The sequence below is a fragment of the Homo sapiens genome, chromosome 6 (genome assembly GCF_000001405.40).
Source record: "Homo sapiens chromosome 6, GRCh38.p14 Primary Assembly".
NCBI classification, from domain to species: Eukaryota; Metazoa; Chordata; class Mammalia; order Primates; family Hominidae; genus Homo; species Homo sapiens.
The window spans coordinates 109,113,365-109,140,899 of NC_000006.12; the positions used below are offsets into that span (position 1 = coordinate 109,113,365).

At 37.0% G+C, this 27,535-nt stretch overlaps 1 protein-coding gene across 21 annotated transcripts in view; it reads left to right on the plus strand.

The window, feature by feature from the left end:
* The window catches only part of CEP57L1 (centrosomal protein 57 like 1), a 79,256-nt gene that overhangs the window by 18,202 nt on the left and 33,519 nt on the right, over window positions 1–27,535 (plus strand). For 6 of the 21 annotated variants that reach the window (NR_146888.2, NM_001350652.2, NM_001350659.2 and 3 more), the window contains one exon: window positions 27,057–27,311. The exons of 11 other annotated variants lie outside the window; for them this stretch is intronic. The gene's annotated coding sequence lies outside the window, so the exon portion shown is untranslated. Of the gene's footprint in view, window positions 1–15,939; window positions 16,129–27,056; window positions 27,312–27,535 lie in introns of those variants that run through there. 4 more of the 21 variants (NM_001350658.2, NM_001350653.2, NM_001350657.2 and 1 more) reach the window with 2 other exon arrangements.

Consider the following 27,535-nt stretch of genomic DNA (forward strand, 5'->3'; position numbering starts at 1 on the left):
CATTTTATTGAGCCCCTGTGAACACATCCGAGAGATACATGATGAATAAAATACAGTTCTCTCTCTTGAAGATCTAATACACTGATTTGATGGAGGAGGGGAGCCACCTATACAGGATACCCCCTCATATCTTTACTCATCATGACTTTGCATTTACCTATTTAATAGCATCAGAAAAATGCTCTCAATATATATTTTTGTAAAGACTTCTTCATTAAATCTATGATGTCAAAGATTATAAGTCACAGCATTATTTTATGTATCACAAAGAAAAACTGCTGCCAAATATAGTTTAAATGTGAATCCTGATTTTGGAGATGTTAAATGTGAAAAAATGTATGTATTAACATACAGTAGTAAATATTTATTAAATATTAGATGTATTTTGTTGTATGTATTTCTATTACATTAATTGAATTTAGTTACCAAATGCTTATTAAATGACTGCCATGTTAAAAAGTCCAGTGTAATAGAATAATGAATAAGATGTTGTCCCTGCTCTTAAGGAAGTATAAAGGAAGGCAAATGGGTACAGACATTGCTAGAATAAAGCTTTGTTTGCCATATTGTTAAAATCCATTCATCTGTAAATGGACACTTAGGTTGTTTGTATATATTTCTTGGCTATTGTGAATAATGCTGCAGTGAACATGGGAGTGCAGACACCCCTTTCTGTACTTATTTTTTTTTTGCTTTGGGTATATACCCAGCAGTGGGATTGCTGGATTATATGGTAATGCTATTTTTCATTTTCTGAGGAACCTCCATACTGTTTTCCAAAATAACTGTGTCAATTTACAATACCACCTACAGAGTATAAGGGTTTCTTTTTCTCCACATCCTTGCCAACATTTGTTGTCATTCATCTTTTTGATAATAGCCAATCTGACAGGTATGAGCTGATATCTCATTGTGGTTTTAATTTTCATTTCTTTGATGATTAGAGATGTTGAACATTTTAAAGTATATATCTGTTGGCCATTTGTATGCCTTCTTTTGAGAAATGTCTATTTAAGTCCTTTGCCCATTTTTAATAGGGTTGTTTTCTTGTTATTTCATAGTTTGAGTTTTTTGTATATTTTGGGTGTTAGCCCCTCATGTATATAGAAACAACAGAATACTGTTTAGCCTTTAAAAAAAAAAACAGGAAATTTCTTCATTTTCAACAACATGGATGAACCTAGAGGACATCATATTAAGGGAAATAAGCCAGGGACAGAGAAACAAATACTCTGTAATCTCACTTATATGTGGAATCTAGAAAAGTCAAAATCATAGAAGTAGAGAGTAGAATAGTGGTTACCAGAGGCAAGGGGCAGGGGATGGGAAGAGAGGTGGGAGAGTTGTAGGGCGTGGACAGGGAAAGGGAAGATGCTGATCAATGGGGTACAAAGTTAAGTTACTAGAAATAAGTTTTGGTGTTCTGTTACACTGCAAGGTGACTATAGTTATTATATTTCAAAATAGCTAAAAGAGATAATTTTAAATATCTCACTACAAAGAGATGGTAAATATTTGAGGTGATGGATATGCTAATTACTCTGATATGATCATTCCACAATGTATACATGTATTGAAATATCACCTTATACCCCATAAATATATACAATTATTATTTGCCAATTAAAATAAAACTAATAAAAATACAAAATGTAAAACTATATTTGTTAAAGCAACTAAATTAATCAGATAAACCATGATTAATACATACATTAAAATATGGCTAAATTAATGATAGTTGATTTTGTAAAAGTTATACATTAACAACTTCAAAAATCTTCTATTGTTAATTTTTTATTCTTTCATTGTTAGAAGTTAGGGGTAGTAGTGGATAAAAGGGAGAAATGGTAGGAAATATTTATTTATGGGTATATATGTATTTTTTTTTTAAAGGAGAGAAAAGAGAGAAATGACACTCCTTCAGAGTGTCATTTTAAAGGAATTTCATGTTGTTCTCAGTTGTAGTCTCCACACTACTCTATTTGTAGGGAAAACAATTCTAGTAGTTGTAATGTTTGTTTTCTTTGGGAAATTTACAAATTAGATTACGCTCAGCCAAACATGTTTCTCTGTTTGTGGATTTATACAATGGAAAAATGTTAACTTTAAGCTGGCATCTATGTGCTATCAGTAGTTTTATTAGTTGGCCCACCCATTGTCGGTGTGTGCACTCAGGGAATGCAAACTTATTTTAATTTTGGCTTAAATAAATAACGTTAAGAAAATAAATCTGTTATTTTTTTTAAAAAATCTGAAGCCAAGTATAAAGAAAAATTTGATTATTTATGATTTATGGAAAGCAGTACAGAAATCAAAAGGGTCCACAGTTAGAGTCCGGAGACCTGGGTTTGAATTCTGGCTTTGCTATTCATTTTTTATACATATTCAATTAGCCAAGTCACCCAATCTTTTCATCTGTTTCCTAATGTGTTAAAAAGTGACTGTAGTAATAGTAATAGCATTCTTTAAGGTTGTTAAGACTAAATTTAGCGTGTAAAAGCTTGTAAGTGGTAATACTTTTCAAATGTTAAGTTGATATTTTTAGATTTTGCCTTTTATTGCAGATATGAAGAATATACTATATAAGTAAGACTACATACATTTTATAGAATTGAGTTCAACAATTTTGATTTATCTGTATTTTTATGAGTTTTGGTCAAAAAAAGGAAAGTAAATTTGTTTTAGGTATTTCCTGGAATTCTATTTCCTCCCTATTAAGCATTTTATTTTATTTTATTTTATTTTATTTTATGTTATGTGTTGTGTTATGTTATGTTATGTTATGTTATGTTATGTTATGTTATGTTATGTTATGTTATGTTACTTTTTTGAGACAGAGTTTCATTCTTGTTGGCCAGGCTGGAGTGCAATGGCATGATCTCGGCTCACTGCAACCTCCACCTCCCAGGTTCAAGTGATTCTCCTGCCTCAGCCTCCCAAGTAGCTGGGATTACAGGCATATGCCACCACGCCCACCTAATTTTGTATTTTTAGTAGAGAGGTGGTTTCTCCATGTTGGTCAGGCTGGTGTCAAACTCCCTACCTCAGGTGATCTGCCCAACTTGGCCTCCCAAAGTGCTGGATTAAAGGAGTGAGCCACGGCGCCCAGCTCCCATAAGCATTTTAGAGATACTTTTCTTAACAGTAGAGTAGACTAATTGATATATATGTTACTTTATTTATATAGGTACAGTTTCAATCTTTTTCTAGGTTCTGATTGTCATAAAGCTTTTGATAAGAGGTTATCCAAGAGAAACTTTGTCTAAAGTATAGTATTATTGACTGGAGAAATAATCTCAAGACATGGTGAGAATTGTGACCTTCAGGAGTTTTTTCTAAGTTCTAAAAATCTCCAGTAATGCCTTAATTCAAAACAGGCCCAGACAATTTGACAATATGTACCAGAAGCATTTAAAACTGTCTTTGACCTAACAACACAATTGCTAGCCTGTTTCTTAATGAAAAAATTGGTAATTTACAAAATCATTTATGTACTGCCATTAAGAAAAACATACTTCTAAAGAATGATATACAAAAAAAGATAATGATTCAAGAAAACATTTATCACATATTAAGTAGAAAGACAATTTATACAAGCATGGTACAGTCCTAACTTTGGTTAAAATAATAAAAGACTGATTTAATATATACCAAAAGTGTGTTAACAATATTTTAATAATCTGAGATTGATAAAATTCCCGTGATTTTTATTTTCTTCTATAATTTCAAAATTTTGTAGAATGAACATGTATTACTTTTATAATCAGAAATATATATATAGTATGTTTGTGTCAAACTTCTTTCCAAACACTCTCATTCTAGTCTCAGCTATTATAGTAAAATATCATGGATTTATATATAACGTAAGCATAAGAAGTTGTAGGCAATATTCAGGTACACAAGAGAATATTACTTATGATTGAACTTATTGTGAATGCCTTTGACTATACCTTTTGGCTTTGCTGCTCTACAAACCTTCTCTATCTTTTGATGGTCTGTAATGTGCTGCTGATAGGAAGTTTTTAATTGAAGGATGAAAGGTGATCATATTGAAGGAACCTGAGGCTGTCTTAGCTAGGGCTTGTCTGGGCTAGACTGGCAAACTGGGCCAACTACTATGACGAAAGCAACATTGGAGGGTTAACCCCACTTTTTATGGGCACCAAATCTGTACTAGTTTAGAGCAAGTTCAAAGTCCTGAGTTAGTGAGGCATTGCATTTGTTTTCCCCTGAGACTGTGACCTCTTCCTCTTTCCATTTCCAGCTCTAAGCACAAAGTTTGGCACATGATAGATGCTTAGCAAACAGTATTGGAATTGAAATGGAAAGGAATTAGGAAATTATGCAGATTCTCAACATTAATTTTACTAAATAGACATTGCAATATTAAGCGAAGTGAATTATGCAGATACAGTCACAGGCAACGTCTATATGGATACAAGGGAAGTTCAATTGGAGCCATAATGATCTCTTACATTTCGACATCATAGGCTGTTCTCTGTGCTCCTCTATTTTGGCTGCTGGTGGTAATTGGAAGGCCCTCAGCACTTTCAGCATTTGGCATAGTGAGATGTAAGTTAAATAAGCACATTGGAAACGGATGAAAAATTGCAACATTAAGAGGAAAGTAATACATATTTTTGTAGGTGCATTTTAAGTAAAATGTATATAGTTGTTGTTGTTGTTTTTGAGACGGAGTCTCACTCTGTCGCCCAGGCTGGAGTGCAGTGGCACGGTCTCGGCTCACTGCAACCTCTGCCTCCTGAGTTCAAGCAATTCTCCTGCCTCAGCCTCCTTAGTAGCTGGAATTACAGGCGCCCACCACCAACTCCAGCTAATTTTTTGTATTTTTAGTAGAGACAGGGTTTCACCATATTGGCCAGGCTGATCTCAAACTCCTGATCTCAGGTAGTCCACCTGCCTTGGCCTCCCAAAGAACTGGGATTACAGGCGTGAGCCTGGCCAGTAAAATATATTTTTATCAATTAACCTCCCACCTCAGCTAGCCAGGAAAATCAGATTTTGTCCTTTTGCCTTCTGGGCTATTTGACAACGTATGCTGTTCCTCATGTTAATACCTTAACAGCTGTGCCAACAAGTCTGGTTTGAAAAAAAAGTAAGGGGCTTAATGGTGTGTCTCTGCAGCCTATCAACATCTCTGTGCATCAGTAGATTACTTGAGCCTTTCAAAACAGTTGTTCACCTCAGACATGTGGGTCAAACGTCACTGTAGTTAACATACTGAAGCTTGCTAATACGAATAAGAATTGGAATTATGACTTCTGAGCTCTCAATACCAAGGAAAGCAATGTTATGACAAACCCGTGTTTGTGTTGCTTCGTCACAGAATAACTCAGACACTACAATCAGTAGCTAGCACTCTCTCTGATCTGAATGGTATAGACATCTTCCTTTTACCTTATATTGCTCTGACTTTTCGGTAGGTTTTGTCTTGGAGCTCCACATAGCTTTTAATTCATTTCAGTTTAGCAAGCCTTTATTAAGTATTAAATTAGGTGCTGAGATTGCAAAGATGAATAAGACTTTGATGAATGAGGCGTGCAGTTCAGTGGGGAAGACATGAACAGATTATTATTTCAATATATATTAAACATATAGGTATGCACAGAGGAAAGTTAATTAGCCCAGCCTCAGGAAGCCAGGAAAGGGAAAACTTCATGGACAGTTTAACTGATAAACTGTGTCTTACATAATGGGCAAGAATATTTCTGGAAGAGAGAACAATAGGAACATTAGAAACGTGTTCACTCAGCAGGGGCAGGAGAAAAGAACTAGATAATGAGTAATGGAGAGCCCTATATGCCCTGAGGAGGTCTTTATTCTGCAGTCACTGAAGAGTTTGAAGCATTGAAGTAACATGGCTGGATTTTAATTTTAGGTAGATCACTCTAGGGGCACAGTAAAAAATAGTTTTAGTGAAACATAATTAGTAGTAGGAAAATCACTTCAAAAGGCTACGTAATGGGACCAATAAATGATGAGGGCCTAGGCTGGGACACCTAATCAGTGGTGGTAAGGATGGGAGAGGATAGGTGAGTCAAGAAGTGTTTTACGTGTTGACCTCCTCAGGACTTGAGAATGGGGAGTAGGAGGATGATCCTATTAAGTGAGATTACAAATATAGGAAGAAAAACTGTTTTGAGGCAAAGATGGTGCTTTAAGTTTTGGATATACGTTTGAGGTGCCTTTAGGACATTCAAGTAGACATGAACTCTGTTAAAATGCAGAGAAATGGTAGTCAGTACTTGACAAAAAAATATTATCTTAGGCAGAAGTAAAGAACAAATAAATGAGTGCAAACTCCAAAGTGATATTGTCTCTTAAGAAGGGCTGGGCCTGGAGAAGGCATTAGGTGTAAAAATTAGGTTTGTGCAGGAGCAGTATAAAGTTATAAGTAGGTTATGTGGGGAATCAAGCATTTCACTTGAAAAGTGATATACTGTTTATAGATTACCTATTGGAGACATTAGGATTATAGTATGATACAATGTTAAGAAACACTGGATATAATGTAGTTTTTGATAGTTCAAAAAAGATTTTTTGATTTTGTGGTTTCTCAGTATCATGCACATCAGTGATTTTACTGACAAAAATTTGGATGAAATATCCAAAATATAAAGATTTCTGGATATCAATAATAGGCAACATGTGTTGAGTGCTTACTGTGCACTAAGCTCTATTCTAGTACTTCATGTTGATTCATTACATATAATTGTCTTAAACAGGTAGTCATATTATTCCCATTTTATAGATAGGAGGAACGTTTAAGAAACCTACTGCAGATCACACAGGATTTATCCCCAAGGAGTTTTGCTGCAGAACCTACCTCTTAACCACTATGCTATACTTCATTATCAAATAATCTAGGTTACAGGTACATGAAAACATGAAAATGCATTATACAAACAAAAATTCATATGAAGGTAACATTTCTAGAGGGACAAGATTGCCATATTCTAGAATCTGATGAACCTTTTTCTGCATTGGCTGCCAGTTGATGCGTATGATAGGAAAGTCTCCAAAAGAAAAGTGCTTAGGTCTATAAATAATTGTTTTCTTTCTGTTCTCAAGAACTGTTGAAGATGATTATCTTCAGAGAGGGGAAGGTAGTGGGTGTAGTTGGGAATCAGCAGTCCAGGATTAGAAAAATTTTACTTTCATTTTGTGACTTTCTGTGCTGTTTAAGTTTTGTTACCTGTGGATATTAAAAAACATGTTAACGGGGGTTCTGTGTAATGGGATTATGGGCTACTCTTAAAATGTTTTAAATTAAATATTTATAGCACACAAATTATACTAACATATCATCCCAAGAATTACTAAGTAGGTTGACTTTCATATTCAGTGGATTTTACACAGTTCCACATAGAAACACTATTGTTATAAAATGGTTAGAAACGTAGTGTCACTATGAAACCATTATTCCCTTGTTTCTATGGGAAAGTGAATTTTCAATTATAGATAGGGATGTGGAAACTGTTACTTCACTTTCTGCAGTCTTAGAAAATTCCTATACTTAGACACACGCACACACACACACACACACACACACACACACACACACACACACACAGTCACTCACTCATAGGCAAACATTTGCTCTGGGGGTAGGATAGTTTTCCTGAGTGAAAGAGGTGCTCTAGTGGGGTGTGGCAAGGATGAGAGTCAGATTAGAATTTTTATATCATTTGCTCTAGACAGGACTGTGTTGTGAGAAGGACTCTTGAGGACCTTCACCCACTAAAAACGGGGAAGTTAGCAGTGGTTGTTTGTATAACTGGTTTATTTGTAAGTTACACTTTTGGATTATGAAACTCCCCACAGTGATCAGTTGGTGTTTATTTTCATTCTGAAGCAATTTTAGTCATCTAGCAACTCATTTGGATGATGTGCTTGCTGTACAATGAAATTTGCAGTTTTAAAAGACCCCAGAGCAACTATGGTGTGTAATTTGTGCAGTGTTGTACTACTCTTGGAATAGATAGGAAATGTATGTTTGAATTAAGAAAAGACTGCTTTTCTGGAAAATTACAGAAGTTCTTAAATAATTTTTTTTTCACTGTGGCATTGTTAAGAAGGGATTAATTTTTCTTAAAAAGAGCCAGGATACTCTGGATGTAATGAAAATATTAAGTTAGTGTTTGGCCTGTAAGCAAAAGAGGGAATACCAAATGTCAGACTAGGATTGTAAATCATCATCTTTGGCAGGAACAAAGTTTGCTGTTTGTCTTGTTATGTCTGGACAGTTACCAGGGCCTGTGATGAATTTTCCAATTTCATTATCAAAATCCCAGAGTGTGGAAGCATTTACATAGACTCTAGGGTACAGGTATTAGTGGTCTGATCTCACTCTTTGGGGTTCTTGTTTTAAAATGGATGAGACTTTTTATATTTAGAGGAATTATAAATATGGTTAAATGTGATGGAAAGGGAAACAATTTTATAATTTTTAATAGTGTCTTTGTTTTATAGTTATTTTGAAAACAAATCAACACCTGTATGAAATTATAAAGTACATTTGAGAACCCGAAAATAACCCCACTGCCAAAGATTCTGAGCATTCAGAATATAGCTTGGTATGCATTCTATCTACTGTATTTCAGTGGCTTTAAGATGCATATTTTAGAAATTTTAGAAATTAAAAAATGTCTAAGATAAGGAAATGTTTTGTAATCATTATTGGCCTCAATTGAAGTCAGATTACTTCAGAAAGGATTTGCATTTCGCTCTGCCAGTTATTTGCACTACTACCAATCTGAGACTACTTTAAGTTAAATTCTCTGCCTGAAAGATTTTTTTGTTTTGTTTTGTCTTTGTTGGTTTTGCTGTGTTTTGGTTTTGACCCCACTGGTTATATGAATTCAGACTGCAAAGCTAGGTGAATACTGGCTTTTAGATAAAATTGCTTCTATCTTGTGTACAGATGGAGACTTTCAGGTTTCCTTGCTGTCTCATTCTGAATGCTGGGTTTATTTTTCATTTGTTTATATTGCATTTGTACCCCTTTTGTTGTTCTGGCTTTACATGGGAGGCTCTTATTTGGGGTATTTTGTTGTTTTGGTGGTGATGGTACATGAAAGAATAATACATCTTATAATTTATTGTGGCTTAGATTTGATCAAAGACTCATCAGAGGGCCAGGTGCGGTGGCTCATGGCTGTAATCCCAGTACTTTGGGAGGCCGAGGTGGGAGGATCACGAGGTCAGGGGTTCGAGACCAGCCAGGCCAACATAGTGAAACCCCATCTCTACTAAAGATACAAAAAATTAGCCGGGCATGGTGGTGCACACCTGTAACCTCAGCTACTCTGGAGGCTGAGGCAAGAGAATCACTTGAACCCAACCCGGGAGGCGTAGGTTGCAGTGAGCCAAGATTGTGCCATTGCACTCCAGCCTGGGCAACAGGGTGAGATTTTGTCTCAAAAGAAAAAAAAAGACTCATCAGACACTTACCCAGGCCCCTACTACCATCCTTCTTCAGAATTTGCTTACTCTTATTGTAGACACACTTCTAATAAACTCAATGTCATTGTTACACATTTCTTTGCTCATTCCTTCAGTGATCTTCAAACTTTAATTTATATAAGAATCAGTTGGATAATTATCAAAATGATATATTTATGGGCCGTATCCCTAGAATTTCTGTTTCCATGGACCTTGGTGGGGCCTAGGAATCTGCATGTTTATTAAAAATAAAAATTCTCAGGGTATTCTTACCTAAGTGATTGAAGGACCACACTTAGACTGCATACTCTATATCTAACTCAGTACTCATGGCTTCAGCTGCCATCTATGTATATTGATGACTTCCAAACCCTTATCTTTGTTTTTATTATTATTATTATTATCTACTGACTGAGCTAGCTGGGGCCAAATCCTTATCTTTAAACAATTCTTGAATGTCAAACTCATCTATAAAATTGGCATGTCTCTATTAAAGACAGAATACACTCCGAACTAGGATACCTGGGTTCAAATCCCAGCTCAGCCCCTTAATAGCTGCATGACCCTGGGCAAGTTACTTAACTTCTCAGATGCCTTATGTAAAAAGAAGTTAATACCTCATAGTGTTGCCTTCATGATTCAGTGGCTCAATCAATGCATGTAAACTTCTTTGACCAGTGCCTCACATGTAGCAAGCTCAATATAAATGTTAGCTGTTTTTTAAAAAATGTTATTTCACAAGCACCTCAATTATGTCTAAAATAATGTTTTATACCACCTCCACTGCTTTCAAAATCTGTTTTCTACCTTGGTTACAACTTTATTTCATTCTTCCCTGTCACGAGTTTTCCTTGTTCTGGTCATAAGTTCTATGAATTTGACATCCTAATTTTCTCTAGTTTTTCTCTTCCTTTCCATAGGATTAGTAGCAGGAAATACCTAAATAGATCCACTTCTGGCCAGGCATGGTGGTTCACACCTGTAATCTCAGTACTTTGGGAGGCCAAGGCGGGCAGATCACCTGATGACAGGAGTTCAAGATTAGCCTGGCCAACATGGCGAAACCCCGTCTTTATTAAAAAAATACAAAAATTAGCCAGGCATGGTGGCGTGCACCTGTAATCCCTGCTACTTGGGAAGCTGAGGCAGAAGAATTGCTTGAACCCAGAAGGTGGAGGTTGCAGTGAACCAAGATCGCACCATTGCACTCCAGCCCAGCCCAGGCGACAGAGTGAGACTCTGTCTCAAAAAAAAAAAAGAACCACTTCTATTGCCTTATCATCTCTCACATAGAGCTCTGGAATAGCCTCCTACCTGTACTTTGAGCGTTTGGTTGTTTCTGTCGTTCTTACTTCATAAAAGTCTTTATTAAAGGCAATGTGATCTTGCTACTCCTCTGCTGCATGGCTTTTACTACCTACAGGATAAAATCTAAACACCTGTACCTGGCATGCGAGACTCCTCAGATCTGGTTTCTGCTTCATCTTCTGCAATATTTAGGCACTATACGACTTTCCAGCTTTAGTAAATCACTCAGAGTAGATTGCTCAAAACACTGGATTCTCTCTTGCTTTCATAATTTTGCATAGATAAGCAATATAGTGTGGTGATTTAGAATGTGAACTTTAGAGCCAGACTGCCAAATCTTGACTTTGCCACTTAACTAGGTATGGACCTTGGATGAAACAGTTTTTTCTGTGCCACAGTTTCCTCATCTGTAAAATAGGAATAATTGTGCCTCATAGCATTGGTACATGGATTTAGTAAGTTAATTCACAGAAGAAGTTTTTAATAAATGTGAGATATCATTATTTTTATTATTACCATGCTATTTCTTCTGTCTGTGAACTTGATCTTTTCTTCTACCCATTCTCTCACTTTCTTTTGCTTGTGAAATGCCAAAGCTTGCCTAGTTCAGAATACTACTAGTTCAGTACCAAGTATTCACCCTTCATGTCTCAGTTAAGAACTAGCACCTCCAGGAAGTCATCATTGAAATGCCCAGACTCTGGGTCAGATGCTTCTCCTCTGGATTCCCATAGCATCCTATGTAGCATAATTAAGTTGTGGATGTTTCAGGGACTGCCTGGGGTTGTATTTTTCATCTCTGAATGTTTAATGAATGAAACTTGATTGCTTTGTTGTTTCTTATTTGCTATAGGTTGGGAAACCAATTAGAAAGGAGTGTTCTGCTAGAAACAGGTAGGTAGACAGCAAGGGAAGAGGTAGCAAGAGATGAAAAGACAGAAAACAGAGTCTAGGATAGTCTGGAACTTTCCAGTGAAGGGGTAAACAATACAAGTATCACACGGGGTCCCTAAGTATCATTGTGCATAATTAAAATGCTATGATGCTATCCTTGAGTCATCCTAAAGGTTAAATTGTGTTGAATATACTCTGTCTAAAAGGAAGGAAAGCAGTTTAAACACTTTAGGAGTCTTTCTTTTAAAACTAGTCGAAATAAATTTTGGTACTGAACTAGGCAAGCTTTAGTTATTTATCATTGTCCAATAGCTCATTCCTCCTTAGGCAGCCTGACTAATCAGTGAAGTCCCACAATTAATTCTGACTATTAAGTCTGCTCAACCTGTGGAAAAAAAAATGTAAAGGCCTAGAAAGTGGATTTGTAGCAACTAATCTGAGTGCCATTAGTTTTTAAATGCTATATATATATATATACATATATATATATATATTTTTTTTTTAACCAGTTTCTGAACTCTGTCTGTCTTTACTAAGTTTACCATCAACCATTCTAAAGAGAAAAGGGTGTGGTGGCACACACCTGCTGCTACTCGGGAGGCTGAGGTGGGAGGATTGCATGAGCCTAGGAGTTTGAAGCTAGTCTAGGCAACACGGTGAGAACCTGTCTTGACTGATTGATTGATTGATTGATTGATTGATAGACGGGTGGATAGAGATGTTTAAAGTTCAACAAAAATAAGGATAGTATACTTTTATCCTTATAAATATAATAAACATTATAAGAATGTTGAAACCCTTTCAAAATCACTTATTTTTTAACTTAGAATTTTTTGAAGAAATATTACCAGTAATATTTTCAAATCCTAAGAATTATGCTTTACTTAAATAAAATGATATTAAATTAAAACCTGTATGTAAAAGTACATATTAAAGCACAATATGTGTGTGTGTTTTTTTAAGTTAGGACAGTATTTACTGATTTGCTGGGTTCAACCATAACAAACATTAGCATAGGGAGGTAGGAAAAAGTTGTTGACCTAACAAATTAGTTTCAGAGGATTTATTTTTACAAATATTTTTTGGATTAGGCCCTGAAGATATGTATGCCCCTTTGCAGAGCGTAGGAATTTGGATTGTGGAGACTTACAGAAAGAATAAACATAATTGCCCTTTCTGAGTTTATGTTGAGATAAGAGACATGAGACCCTTACAAATGAAAATATGTAAGTGCTTCCAACAGATATTTGTATAAATAATTGATACTCTAAATCTCCAGCTGCTTTCTACCTCTTTGGAAGTCTAATTGAGAAAATATTTTATTAGATTTCTGTTTCTCATTATAAAAGTAAAATGTTTCATTGTGGACAATGTTTTAGAAGGTAGAAGTAAGAACATGAAAATCTGTTGTCCATCTATTAACATTTAATTACTTTAATCTGTTATTTGTATCTATCTTTGTCCTTTTAAAAAATAGACTATAATTATACAGTTTTATATTGTTCCTCATTTACTTTATGTTAAATCAGGAACATTTTCTCATGAACTGAATAGTCAAGATAAACTAAATCTTGGTAAAGATGATGGGGAGTCTAATCATTTAAGTGACCTTAGACATTATATGTTCTAAACTAAATGGATACACATTCAATAAGGAGAAATCTAATTATTAGTATGTTCATAAGCCTGGTTATTTTAAATTCAGCACTTGAGTTTATTTGAAAATTAGATAGCTCTTATTGCATGTATTGAGTTGAATTAACTGTGCACATGAACAATTAGATGCTATATTATAATTTATAAAATATTTGTAAAAGATTGGCATTACTTTGTACTCTTAAAAAACTGGCTGTTGGCCAGGCACGGTGCCTCACGCCTGTAATCCCAGCACTTTGGGAGGCCGAGGCGGACGGATCACAAGGTCAAGAGATCAAGACCATCCTGGCCAACATGGTGAAACCCCGTCTCTACTAAAAATACAAAAATTAGCTGGGCACGGTGGCGCACGCCTGTAGTCTCAGTTACTTGGGAGGCTGGGGCAAGAGAATTGCTTGAACCCGGGAGATGGAGGTTGCAGTGAGCCGAGATCGCGCCACTGCACTCCAGCCTGGCGACAGAGCGAAACTCCGTCTCAAACAAAACAAAACAAAAAAAACCAAAAACTGGCTGTTCTACTCATGTAATAATGTATTTCTTATATTCAGACTATTTAATGAGTTTGGAGGCTGCTTAGTAAAAATTTATTAGTAGTTATGAAATAAACCAATTTTACTTGATATACTGTTGACTCACCCCCTTCCCTTTTCTTTTTTCTCCATCTCATCGTCTTGTGTGAGTCTTTTTTCAACAGTGTAATTGCAAATTCAGTCAGATAGCAGAAGCCATGTCCTGTGTTCTTTATATTTCAGGGAGGCATAGTGTATTAGAAAATAGTAAATACTTGTTCTCACTTTTACTCCTTTGTTACCACTTTCTCCTGCTTTTTCCCCACTTCTCTTAACATTCCTTTTTTTTAATCTCCTTTGAGAGTTTTTTTTTTCCTTCACTTGTCTCCCAAATCTGTTATACTTAATCTTTTTTTGTTTGTTTGTTTTGTTTTGTTTTTTTGGAGACTGAGTCTCCTCTGTCACCCAGGCTGGAGTGCAGTGGCGCAGTCTCGGCTTGCTGCAACCTCCGCCTCCTGGGTTCAAGCGATTCTCCTGCCTCAGCCTCCCGAGTAGCTGGGATTACAGGCACGTGCCACCACGCCTGGCTAATTTTTTTTTTTTTTTAATTTTTAGTAGAGACGAGGTTTCACCATGTTGGCCAGGATGGTCTCAATCTGCTGACCTCGTGATCCGCCCGCCTCGGCCTCCCAAAGTGCTGGGATTACAGACATGAGCCACTGCGGCCGACCAAACCTGTGATTCTTAACCTTTTATAAAATTTTGTCTCAACACATCTGAGGAGGACTAACAATGGTTCCCTAATGGACAAAGGCAGTGAGTCTCAGCTACCTCTTTTGTCATGCACACAATGCACACACTGAAAATTGCTGTTCTTTATACTGTCCTTGGGTGATCTAATTGATAACCAAATCTCTATCTCTAGATCTAGCCTAAATGCTCACCTAACCTCCAGATTCATATTTCAGTCTGCTTGCTGGGCAGTTCTGTGTCTGTAAGCACCTCATATTTGACATGTCTAAAACAGAATTCATTATTTCCCTAAGACTTGTAGCCCCTTTTATATTATTCCATATTTCCATTAATTCACCACTATCTACCCATTTGCCCAACCAAAAATTTTGAGGAGTATTTCTGAGTCTTTCCTCTCTCCTATTACATATTTGTAGCAGATTCGTAAGTTCTTTTGATTATATCTTCTCAGCATCTTTCATATTTATCTCATCTACTCCAGTCCTATTTTAGACCTATATTTTTCGTGTTTGAATTATTTTGGTAACCTCTTAATTTGTCCATCTGCCTATAATTTCTTCCTCCTTTTGTCTGTTCACCTTAAAGCCGTCTGAATGAACTTGTCAAAATGCAAACCTGGTCATGTTATTCCCTTTTATGTCCTTAATTACCTCCCTATGGTCTAATCAAATAAATTATAAACTCCTTGATGTGATATACAAAATCCTTTGTGGCATGGCCCTTATGCATTTTTAGCCTGTTTTTTACTGCCAACATTTATTCACTATACTCCAAACAAATTCACTAGGATCTATCATCGTTCTCAATGATTATACATTCTGTCTTCACTAATGGTATATTTCCAGTTTTCGTGTTCCTGCTAAACCTCTTATTGTTTGTTTGCTTTGGTGTCTGTCTCTCCTAAGGTCTGGTAAGCCTTGGTTAGATAGCTTATATGTAAGAGTGGAGCACTGAAAAACTAACTGAAGGCCGGGCACAGTGGCTCATGCCTGTAATCCCAGCACTTTGGGAGGCCGAGGCAGGTGGATCACCTGAGGTCAGGAGTTCGAGACCAGCCTGGCCAACATGGTGAAACTCTGTCTCTACTAAAAATACAAAAAATTAGCCAGGCATGGTGGCGGGCGCCTGTAATCCCAGCTACTCGGGAGGCTGAGGCAGCAGAATCGCTTGAACCTGGGAGGCAGAGGTTGCAGTAAGCTGAGATCGCACCACTGCACTCCAGCCTGGGCGACAGAGAGAGACTCCATCTCTAAACAAAAACCAAAAAAACTAACTGGAAACTCCAAATCTATCCAATCAATTCATTTTATCGCCTTTAGTATCTTTATTAACTTAAGCTATTCATATTTCCTAGAAAATGGATCCTCACTTCTTCACTTGGATATAATAATATAGACTGCCGACATTCTGGGAACTGATCAGTCTTCCAGCTTCCAGTGTGGTGCCCTCCCTCAATTGTGCTGAGTGTCCCCCAATCCAGAGATATTCTGTAATTTCTTCCTCAGAAAGAAACAAAACAAAATTCTGATCTTCCCAGATGAAGGTAGAGTACTCTTCTGGCTGCATGGAAAGACAGAGGGTATTTGGGCATATAATTTACTTCTACATTAAATTTTCAACCTGTTCTCTAGTTTCCAGCTCAATCTTACCTACTGCTTACAGAGGTGTGGCTAATTCCTGAGCCATTCGAGGATCCTATTGGGTAAAATTTAAAAAGTCACATTTCTTACTTGGGTTAGGAGTCTGCCTTTTTGCATTAGCTAAGCCTGTTACTACTCATACATCTGTTTTCCATTTTCCAAAGTTTTGTTGTTGTCACCTCTACTTATCTTTCTCTTCGCAGGTTTATATCTTTCTTTAAAATTTTTTTTTTAATTTAAAATTTAAAATTTAAAATTTCTTTAAAAATTGTTTTAATATTATTTTAGTGAGTTTCCAAGTGGGAGCAAAAGTAAGTATGTATGTTCACTCTGCCATATTAACCTAAACTTCTCTTTCAAAACTGTTCGTAATTTCAGATTATTTCTGATTATATTTTGATTATATTCAGATTATATTCTGAAGTTAGTTATCACCCCATCAATCAGAGAGTGTTAATCTCTCCTTTGTGTTCCCATGGCTTTCTGCATATGCTTTTGTTATGGAACCAAGCCCATCGAATCAAAGATTGTTTTTATCATATTTGTCTCCCCTACTACGCATTGTTATGCAACCAATCTCTAAAACTTTTTCATCTGGCAAAACTGAAACTCTGTAACTCATTTCACTCCCCCCCAGCAACCACCATTCTACCTTCTGTTTCTGTAAGTTCGACTACTTTAGATACTTCATATAAGTGGAAACACATATATGACAAACTTACATAAGACAAACATCATATGTTTGTCTTTTCTGTGATTGGTTTATTTCACTTAGCATCATATCTTCAAGGTTCATCAAAATTGAAGCCTCTGTCAGAGTTTCCTTCCTTTTTAAGGCTGATTAATATTCCATTGCTTGTATATATCACATTTTGTTTACCTATCAATGGGCATTTGGTTTCCTTCTGCCTTTTGGTTATGGTGAATTGTGCTTCTACGAACATAGGTATACAAATACCTCTTTGAGACCCTGCTTTCGGTTCTTCTGAATACATATGCAGAAGTGTGATTGTCTTTTTTTTTTTTGTGAAATTGACATTTTTAAAGAAAACAACCCCCTCTCTGCTGGTTTTGTTTTTTTTTTTTTTTTTAAAGAAAAATAGAACACTTTTCATTTGTTGTTTATGTGGTGTCTCTCATGTTGAGATTCAGGTTATGCTTTCTGGCCAGAATACTGCATAGGTGATGTTGCGTCCTTCTCCAGGTTTCATATCCAGAGGCACATGGTGGCCTTCTACCTCTCACAGGTGATGTTAATTTTAATCATCCTATCAGAGTGTTGTTTGTCTTTCTACTATAAAGTTACTAGTTTTTCCTTGCATCTTATAAGCACTCTATGGGAAATACACTTTAGGACCATGCAAATATCCTGCTCCTCATTAAACTGTATCCCCTGGATTTAGCAGCTATTGATGCTTCTTGCCTAAATCAGCCTTTATTGTGATGGTTACAAAATGATGATTTTTCATATCTATCAAGGAATGTTTTTTAAGTTAATTATAAATTACATTAAGTAGATCAATTCGAATGTCAAAAGATCAGTATATTAAATGTAAGATTTGCTGCTACTGTTAATACATTATACATGAATGTCATTGAAGTATAATAATACTTAAACTGCTTCTAAATTTCTGGATTTGATGGTTACTATAGTATTCCTATAAAGTCATTGCATATTTTTAATGTTGAATATATAGTGCCTAAGACCTGAATTAGGTTCTGATACTTTTTCTTATTCTCAGCCTATAGATTGTTTACTGTTTGTTCTATTATCTGAATCCTGCTAGTGAACTCTCTAGTTAATAACTAACCAGATAATATTCATTTTACTGTAATTGAAGAAGAACAAACTTTACAGTATGGAATACTTTTGAGAATTGTAGCTGGAATGGAAAGATATAAACTCCTTTTCCTTTTTTGAAGCCTAAGTATCATTCTGTGTGTGCAACTAAAACTGGTTTGTCTGAAGCAGTTAGTATCTCTAAAGTATGTCTAAAGCTATTACAGTATTTTGTTTCAAGCAATATGGCAGACTAGATGTTCAGAGAAACTTCTGGTAAAAGAACACATTTTTAAATGCTGGATAAAATACTTAAAAAAAATTTTTTTAAGTATGCTTGAGTTGACAGCAAAGTAAGGTGAAAATACAAGCCTGTAAATAATGAGAAGGCCCAATTCTGTGGAGATAAGTGAGCCATAGAACCTCTTTACCTCTAAAGTTGCCTTCTGATACCTTATGGCTCAGAACCTGGGCTTTAAAGAAGTAGTCCTGCTTGCATGGGACAGAGGAAGTCTGAGCCTAGGCATTGTGAGTTATAAGTTTGGACACTGCAACATAAAGCTGAGATCCCCAAAGTGTGAATCATCCCCTGTGGATAATTTAAGGAAAATAACCTGCTCTTTAGAATGACACTGCCTAGCTCATCCTTGGTTTTGATTGGAGTACACAAAAAGAATCTTTCCTGAGAAATCCTCATCACAATCCGATGCTCATGTGGGTTTGAAGTTGAAATTCGCCTTGCAAAAATAATCTTAACCTAAAGGTTTAGTTTAATGATGCTTTTGGTTTGGGGTGCCTCAGGATCCTAGCAGAAAAAATAGAAATTTTCTCTGAAGAAAAGTGCTTTAAACATTGACTTCAAAGAATTCCTACAGTTAAAGATCTAAGAAATGTGTTTAAAATTAGAACTCTAAATGTATGAATAAGACCAGCCTGGGCAATATAGTGAGACCCCCATCTCTGAAAAACACAAACAGCAGCAACAATAACAAAAAATTGTATGATACTCTTCTTCAGTAACTTGCATTTTTCACCCAACAGTTTTCTAAGATTCATCCTTATTGAAATCCTTACCACAGGTTTTTCATTGTCTTTGTTAGGACATTGTGTAAATATACCACAGTTTATCTGTTTATCCATTTCGGCTGTTTCTAGTTTTTGCTATCACAAATAGTGCTGCTACAAATATTCTTAATAATGTATTTCCTGGTGATTATATGTAAAAGTTTCTCTAAGACTTATTCGCTAGATTGTAATATCTATCTGTATGTATATATGTGTATGTAAAGAAATACATATTTAATTTTATTCCATAATACTAAATTGTTTTAAAATTGGTACCAGTTTATGTGCCAACACTTACTTATGTTCTCATAGTTCTACATCATTTCTAAAATTTTATATTGTCGGTTTTAAATTTTGCCTAACTGTTAGATATGAAATGCTAGTTTGTGGTTTTAAGTTGCATTTCCCTGGCTACTACTGAGGTTGAGCATCTTTTCCTATATTTATAAGCCACTTATGTTTCCTCATTTTGAAGTGTCCCTTATGCTTATTTTTTCTATTGGGTTTTGTGTTTTCTTTCTGATTTGTAGTTCTTCAGGTATTTTGAGTACTAGTCCCTGGTAAATTAATTAAATTAATATCTACCCAGTAGCCAAGTTAGACTGTCTGAGAATTATCTTTGAATTGTTCTTCTCCTTTATCCCTTAAATATAATAATTGCTAACATGTATCAACTTTTACTATGTATCAGACATATTTCTGAGTACCTTACTTATGTTGTCTCATTTAATCCTTAGAGCAATCTTATATGTTAAGGCAGCAGGGACCGGTTTTATGGAAGACAGTTTTTCCACAGATGCGGCAGGGGTAAGGGGATGGTTTGGGGATGAAACAGTTTCACCCTAGATCATTCCAGATCATGAGACATTAGTTCGATTCTCATAAGGAGCATGCAGCCTAGATCCCTGATATGCGCAGTTCACAATAGGGTTTGCGCTCCTATGAAAATCTAATGCAGCCCTGATCTGACAGGAAGCGGAGCTCAGGAGGTAATGCTCGCTGACCTTCACTTACCTCCTGCTGGGCACCCTGGTTCCTAACAGGCCAAGAATGGATACTATTCCACAGACCAGGGGTTGGGGACCCCTGTGTTAAGATACCATTTTTCTGATCTTAGTTATTTAAGATCAGAGCAGAACTGAAGGAGATAGAGACACAAAAAAACCCTTCAAAAAATCTGTGAATCCAGGAGCTGGTGTTTTGAAAAGATCAACAAAATTGATAGACCGCTAGCAAGACTAATGAAGAAAAGAGAGAAGAATCAAATAGACACAATAAAAAATGATAAAGGGGATATCACCACCAATCCCACAGAAATACAAACTGCCATCAGAGAATACTATAAACACCTCTACGCAAATAAACTAGAAAATCTAGAAGAAACGGACAAATTCCTCGACACATACACCCTCCCAAGACCAAACCAGGAAGAAGTTGAATCTCTGAATAGACCAATAGCAGGCTCTGAAATTGAGGCAATAATTAATAGCTTACCAACCAAAACAAGTCGAGGACCAGATGCATTCACAGCCGAATTCTACCAGAGGTACAAGGAGGAGCTGGTACCATTCCTTCTGAAACTATTCCAATCAATAGAAAAACAGGGAATCCTCCCTAACTCATTTTATGAGGCCAGCATCATCCTGCTACCAAAACCTGGCAGAGACAAAACAAAAAAAGAGAATTTTAGACCAATATCCCTGATGAACATCGATGCAGAAATCCTCAATATAATACTGGCAAACTGAATCCAGCAACACATCAAAAAACTTATCCACCAAGATCAAGTGGGCTTCATCCCTGGGATGCAAGGCTGGTTCAACATACACAAATCAATAAATGTAATCCAGCATATAAACAGAACCAAAGACAAAAACCACGTGGTTATCTCAATAGCTGCAGAAAAGGCCTTTGACAAAATTCAACAGCCCTTCATGCTAAAAACTCTCAATAAATTAGGTATTGATGGGACGTATCTCAAAATAATAAGAGCTATTTATGACAGACCCACAGCCAATATCATACTGAATGGGCAAAAACTGGAAGCATGCCCTTTGAAAACTGGCACAAGACAGGGATGCCCTCTGTCACCACTCCTATTCAACATAGTATTGGAAGTTCTGGCCAGGGCAATCAGGCAGGAGAAGGAAATAAAGGGTATTCATTTAGGAAAAGAGGAAATCAAATTGTCCCTGTTTGCAGATGACATGATTGTATATGTAGACAACCCCATCGTCTCAGCCCAAAATCTCCTTAAGCTGATAAGCAACTTCAGCAAAGTCTCAGGATACAAAATCAATGTGCAAAAATCACAAGCATTCTTATACACCAATAACAGACAAACAGAGAGCCAAATCATGAGTGAACTCCCATTCACAATTGCTTCAAAGAGAATAAAATACCTAGGAATCCAACTTACAAGGGATGTGAAGGACCTCTTCAAGGAGGACTACAAACCACTGCTTAACGGAATTAAAGAGGATACAAACAAATGGAAGAACATTCCATGCTCATGAGTAGGAAGAATCAATATCGTGAAAATGGCCATACTGCCCAAAGTAATTTATAGATTCAATGCCATCCCCATCAAGCTACCAATGACTTTCTTCACAGAATTGGAAAAAACTACTTTAAAGTTCATATGGAACCAAAAAAGAGCCCGCATCGCCAAGTCAATCCTAAGCCAAAAGAACAAAGCTGGAGGCATCATGCTACCTGACTTCAAACTACGCTACAAGGCTACAGTAACCAAAACAGCATGGTACCTATACCAAAACAGAGATATAGACCAATGGAACAGAACAGAGCCGTCAGAAATAATGCCACACATCTACAACTATGTGATCTTTGACAAACCTGACAAAAACAAGAAATGGGGAAAGGATTCCCTATTTAATAAATGGTGCTGGGAAAACTGGCTAGCCATATGTAGAAAGCTGAAACTGGATCCCTTCATTACACCTTATACAAAAATTAATTCAAGATGGGTTAAAGACTTAAATGTTAGACCTAAAACCATAAAAACCCTAGAAGAAAACCTAGGCAATACCATTCAGGACATAGGCATGGGCAAGGACTTCATGTCAAAAACACCAAAAACAATGGCAACAAAAGCCAAAATTGACAAATGGGATCTAATTAAACTAAAGAGCTTCTGCCCAGCAAAAGAAACTACCATCAGAGTGAACAGGCAACCTACAGAATGGGAGGAAATTTTTGCAATCTACTCATCTGACAAAGGGCTAATATCCAGAATCTACAAAGAACTCAAACAAATTTACAAGAAAAAAACAAACAGCCGCATCAACAAGTGGGCAAAGGATATGAACAGACAGTTCTCAAAAGGAGACATGTATGCAGCCAACAGACACATGAAAAACTGCTCATCATCACTGGCCATCAGAGAAATGCAAATCAAAACCACAGTGAGATAGCATCTCACACCAGTTAGAATGGCAATCATTAAAAAGTCAGGAAACAACAGGTGCTGGAGAGGATGTGGAGAAATAGAAACACTTTTACACTGTTGGTGGGACTGTAAACTAGTTCAACCATTGTGGAAGACAGTGTGGGGATTCCTCAGGGATCTAGAACTAGAAATACCATTTGACCCAGCCATCCCATTACTGGGTATATACCCAAAGGATTATAAATCATTCTGCTACAAAGACACATGCACACGTATGTTTATTGCGGCACTATTCACAATAGCAAAGACTTAGAACCAACCCAAATGTCCCTCAGTGATAGACTGGATTAAGAAAATGTGGCACATATACACCATGGAATACTATGCAGCCATAAAAAAGGATGAGTTCATGTCCTTTGTAGGGACATGGATGAAGCTGGAAACCATCATTCTCAGCAAACTATCGCAAGGACAAAAAACCAAAGACCGCATGTTCTCACTCATAGGTGGGAATTGAACAATGAGAACACTTGGACACAGGAAGGGGAACATCACACACCGGGGCCTGTTGTAGGGTGTGGGTAGAGGGGAGCGATAGCATTAGGAGATAAACCTAATGTAAATGACGAGTTAATGGGTGCAGCCCACGAACATGGCACATGTATACATATGTAACAAACCTGCACGTTGTGCACATGTACCCTAAAACTATAAGTATAAAAAAAAAAAAAAAAGATACCATTTTTATCTTTATTTTGCAAATGCGGAATTTGAGGCACAGAGAAGTTAAACATTTGATGAGGGTCACACAGCGGTGCTTCAGTTTGAACCAAAGAAGTCTGCTCTGAAACTTGTATTTTTATTTTATTTTATTTTATTTTATTTTATTTTATTTTATTTTATTTTATTTTATTTTATTTATTTTTTTGAGAGAGAGTCTTTTGCTCTGTCGCCCAGGCTAGAGTGCAGTGGCACAATCTCGGCTCACTGCAGCCTCCACCTCCCAGGTTCAAGTGATTCTCCTGCCTCAGCTTCCTGAGTAGCTGGGATTACAGATGTGCGCCACTGCGCCCTACAATGTATTTTTAGTAGAGATGGGGTTTCTCCATGTTGGCCAGGCTGGTCTTGAACTCCTGGGGTCTCAAGCAATCCGCCCACCTCCGCCTCCCAAAGTGCAGGGATTATAGGTGTGGGGCATGGCGCCTGGCCTAAAACTTGTATCTTTAAACATTGTAATACCTTTCATTATTTTCATAAGTTGTATTCTAGAAGTATAGTAAAAACTCTGTTTTTAATAAAGTCAATATGTTTAAACCTTTTTTGTTTGTAATAGTAATATATTTAAGATGCGTATTTTCATTTTTATTTTGATTTTGTTTTATTTACTAAGTTATAATTTTGTGTAGTTTAGTATCCCATCCTTTCTCACTTAGTTATATCATGACTTTCAAAACATAAGTTTTGTTTTTTTTCTTTGAGATGGAGTCTCACTCTGTCGCCCAGGCTGGAGTGCGGTGGCCCCATCTCGGCTCACTGCGACCTCTGCCTCCCAAGTTCAAGCTATTCTCCTGCCTCAGCCTCCTGAGTAGCTGGGACTACAGGTGTGTGCCACCACACCCAGCTAATTTTTGTATTTTTAGTAGAGATGGAGTTGGACCATGTTGGTCAGGCTGGTCTCAAACTCCTGACCTACTGATCTGCCTGCTCTGGCCTCCCAAAGTGCTGGGATTACAGGTGTGAGCCACCGCTCCCAGCCTCAAAACATACTTTTAATGGCTGTATAATTTTACAGTATATGATTGTCATGTAATGAGTTATTGCTAGTTTGGGATATTTATTTATTCAACAAGTATTTTTGAATACCTTCTCTGTGCCAGGTACAATTCTAGGCATTATGGATAGAGTGGGGAACAAATCACCCAAGGCCCATGCCCTCATGGATCTTACATTCTAGTTAGGGCAGTGAGAAGACAAATAACAAAACAATTCTGCATTCAATGGAGAAAATGCAGAGAAATGGGATACAAAGTGCTAAGGAGGGAAATAGAATTAGTGTTTTATAAAGAATGGTCAGCAGATACAGAGCAGGTGACAATTGAGCAGAGACCTGAAGGGAGAGAATAAGCCATGCAGATATCTAAAGGAAAAGTGTTCCAGGCAGTGGGAACCAGAAGTAAAAAGTCCTGAGGCAGGAGCATGTTTGACTATTACAGAAACAGTGGGGAGGACAATGTGGGGCTAGAGAGGACTGAACAAAAGGGAGACTGAAGGAGAGTCAGAGTTGGGGAGTGGGGGACCCAATTCATATATGGCTTTGTAAATCATTGTAGGGACTTGAGCTTTTTCTCTGAGTAAGACGTGAAGCCATTTTGAGAGTTTTGAGCAGATTAATGACATGATGTGACATTATGTTAAAAGGCTTATTCTGGTTGCTGGGTGAAGAATAGATTGCTGAGGAACTAGGAGAGAATCTCTTACAATAATCTAGGATGGTAGCATAGGCCAACTGGTCAGATATTAGATATATTTTGAAGGTAGAGCTAGTATGTATCCTGAAAGATTCAACATGGGATGTGAGAGAGAGGTATCAAGACAAAAATTTTGATATTATAAATAATGCTAAAGTGATGACATTTATAATAATTTTTGTGCACATCTTTGATTCTTTTTTAGTAGAGATTCCTATAATAATTACTGATCAAAGAACATGAACTTCTTGAGGTCCTTGACATATCCTGTTCAATTGCTTTCCAGAAAAGTGTTATTGGTTTATATTCCTGTCAGCTATGTATGTGTGCTTTCTTGCCAGCATTAACTATTGTTCCTTAAAGGGAGTTTGCCTTGTTTGAAATGTTAAAAATTGTATTGCCTTGTTTTCTTTTAAGATAAGTATGACCGCCTTTTATCAAATACATATTTTGCTTACAGAAACTGCATACAATAGTCCCCCCTTGTCCATGAGGGGTATGTTCTAAGACCTTTAGTTGCCTGAAACCACAGATAGTACCAAACTCTATATATACTATGAACAATTCTTTTCCTTCGTCATAGTTTCATGGATAGAAGATTCATTCTTACTGTAGATCTTAGCAACCTCAGCATGTGATTTTTTTTCTTTTCTTATGAAGTCATGAACTTTTACCTTTTCACTGAAAGAAAGCACTTTACAGCTTCTCTCTGGCATATCTAAATTGCCAGCATGACTACTCTTGTGCTTTGGTGCCAATGTTAAGTAGAATAAGAGTTACTTGAACACAAGCACTGTGATACTATGACAGTTGATCTGATAACCAAGGTGGCCACCAAACAACTAACAGGTAGGTAGCGTCTACAGTGTGGAAATGCCGGACAAAGAGATGATTCACATCCTGGGCAGGATGGAGCTGGACAGTGTGAGATTTCATCATCATGGTATTCAGAACGGAGCACAATTTAAAACTTATGAATGGTTTCTGGTATTTTCAGTTTAAAAAATTTTGAGACAGAGTCTGACTCTATTACTCAGGCTAGAATGCAGTGGTACAATCTCAGCTCACCACAACATTCGCCTCCTGGGTCAAACAATTGTGCCTCGGCCACCATAGTAGCTGGAATTACAGTATGAGCCATCTCGCCTGGCTGAATTTTTTTTTCTTTTTTCTTTTTTTTTTTGAGATGGAGTCTCACTCTGTCTCCCAGGCTGGAGTGCAGTGACATGATCTCGGCTCACTGCAACCTCTGCCTCCTGGGTTCAAGTGATTCTCCTGCCTCCGCTTTTCAAGCTTCCCAAGTAGCTGGGACTACAGGCGCCTGCCACCACGCTCAGCCAATTTTTTTGTATTTTTAGTAGAGAAGGTGTTTCACCATGTTGGCCAGGCTGGTCTTGAACTTGTGACCTCAAATGATCTGCCCACCTTGGCCTCCCAAAGTGCTGGGATTACAGACGTGAGCCACCATGCCCAGCCTGCCTGGCTAATTTTTGTATATTTAAGAGAGAAGGGGTTTCACGATGTTGGCCAGGCTGGTCTCGAACTCTTGACCTCAAATGATCCACCTTCCTCACCCTCCCAAAGTGCTGGGATTATAGGCATGAACCACCATGCCCAGGCTGGAATTTTCCATTAATATTTTCTGAAAAATGTTTTTCTGAAAGTCAGAAAGATAGTAGTAAGTGGCAGATTCAGGATTTGAATTGAGGTCCAGCTGCAAAGGCTTTACTTTTGAATCTGGATATAACTGCTTTTCATTGATTATTACTAAGATTTATTTATTTATGTATTTATTTATTGAGATGGAGTCTCACTCTGTCACCCAGGCTGGAGTGCAGTGACTTGATCTCGGCTCACTGCAACCTCCGCCTTCCGGGTTCAAGCGATTCTCCTCCCTCAGCCTCCTGAGTAGCTGGGATTACAAGCACTTGCCACTTGTCATTTTTCTATTATGACGTTAGTAGTTTTCTTTTGACTTACAAAAGCCCTTTACATATTAACATTAACCCTTTGTTCTTCATTGCACTTAATTACTTCTGTTTGTCTTTTGTCATTCAATTTTGTTTATAATTTTTATATGTTGTATTAATTTTTTTTTTTTTTTTTTAGACAGAGTCTTTCTCTGTCACCCAGGCTGGAGTACAGTGGCACGATCTCGGCTCCCTGCAACGTCCGCCTCCCGAGTTCAAGTGATTCTCCTGCCTCAGCCACCCGAGTAGCTGGGTCTACAGGTGTGCGCCACCATGCCTGGCTAATTTTTGTATTTTTAAGAGAGACGGGGTTTCACCATGCTGGCCAGGCTGGTCTCGAACTCCTGACCTCGTGATCCGCCTGCCTCAGCCCCTCAAAGTGCTAGGATTAGAGGTGAGCCACCGCGCCCGGCCTTATATGTTGTATTAATTTTAACAGAGCTTTTGTATCTTTTCCTTTATTTTTCTGTTACTTTTAAACATAGAATATCTTACCTATTCTAAGGTTATTTAATATTCACTGATTTCTTAAAATAATTTTTAGAGTTTTTTATTTATTTATTTATTTAGATGGATTCTCGCTCTGTTGCCCAGGCTGGAGTGCAGCGGTGCGATCTC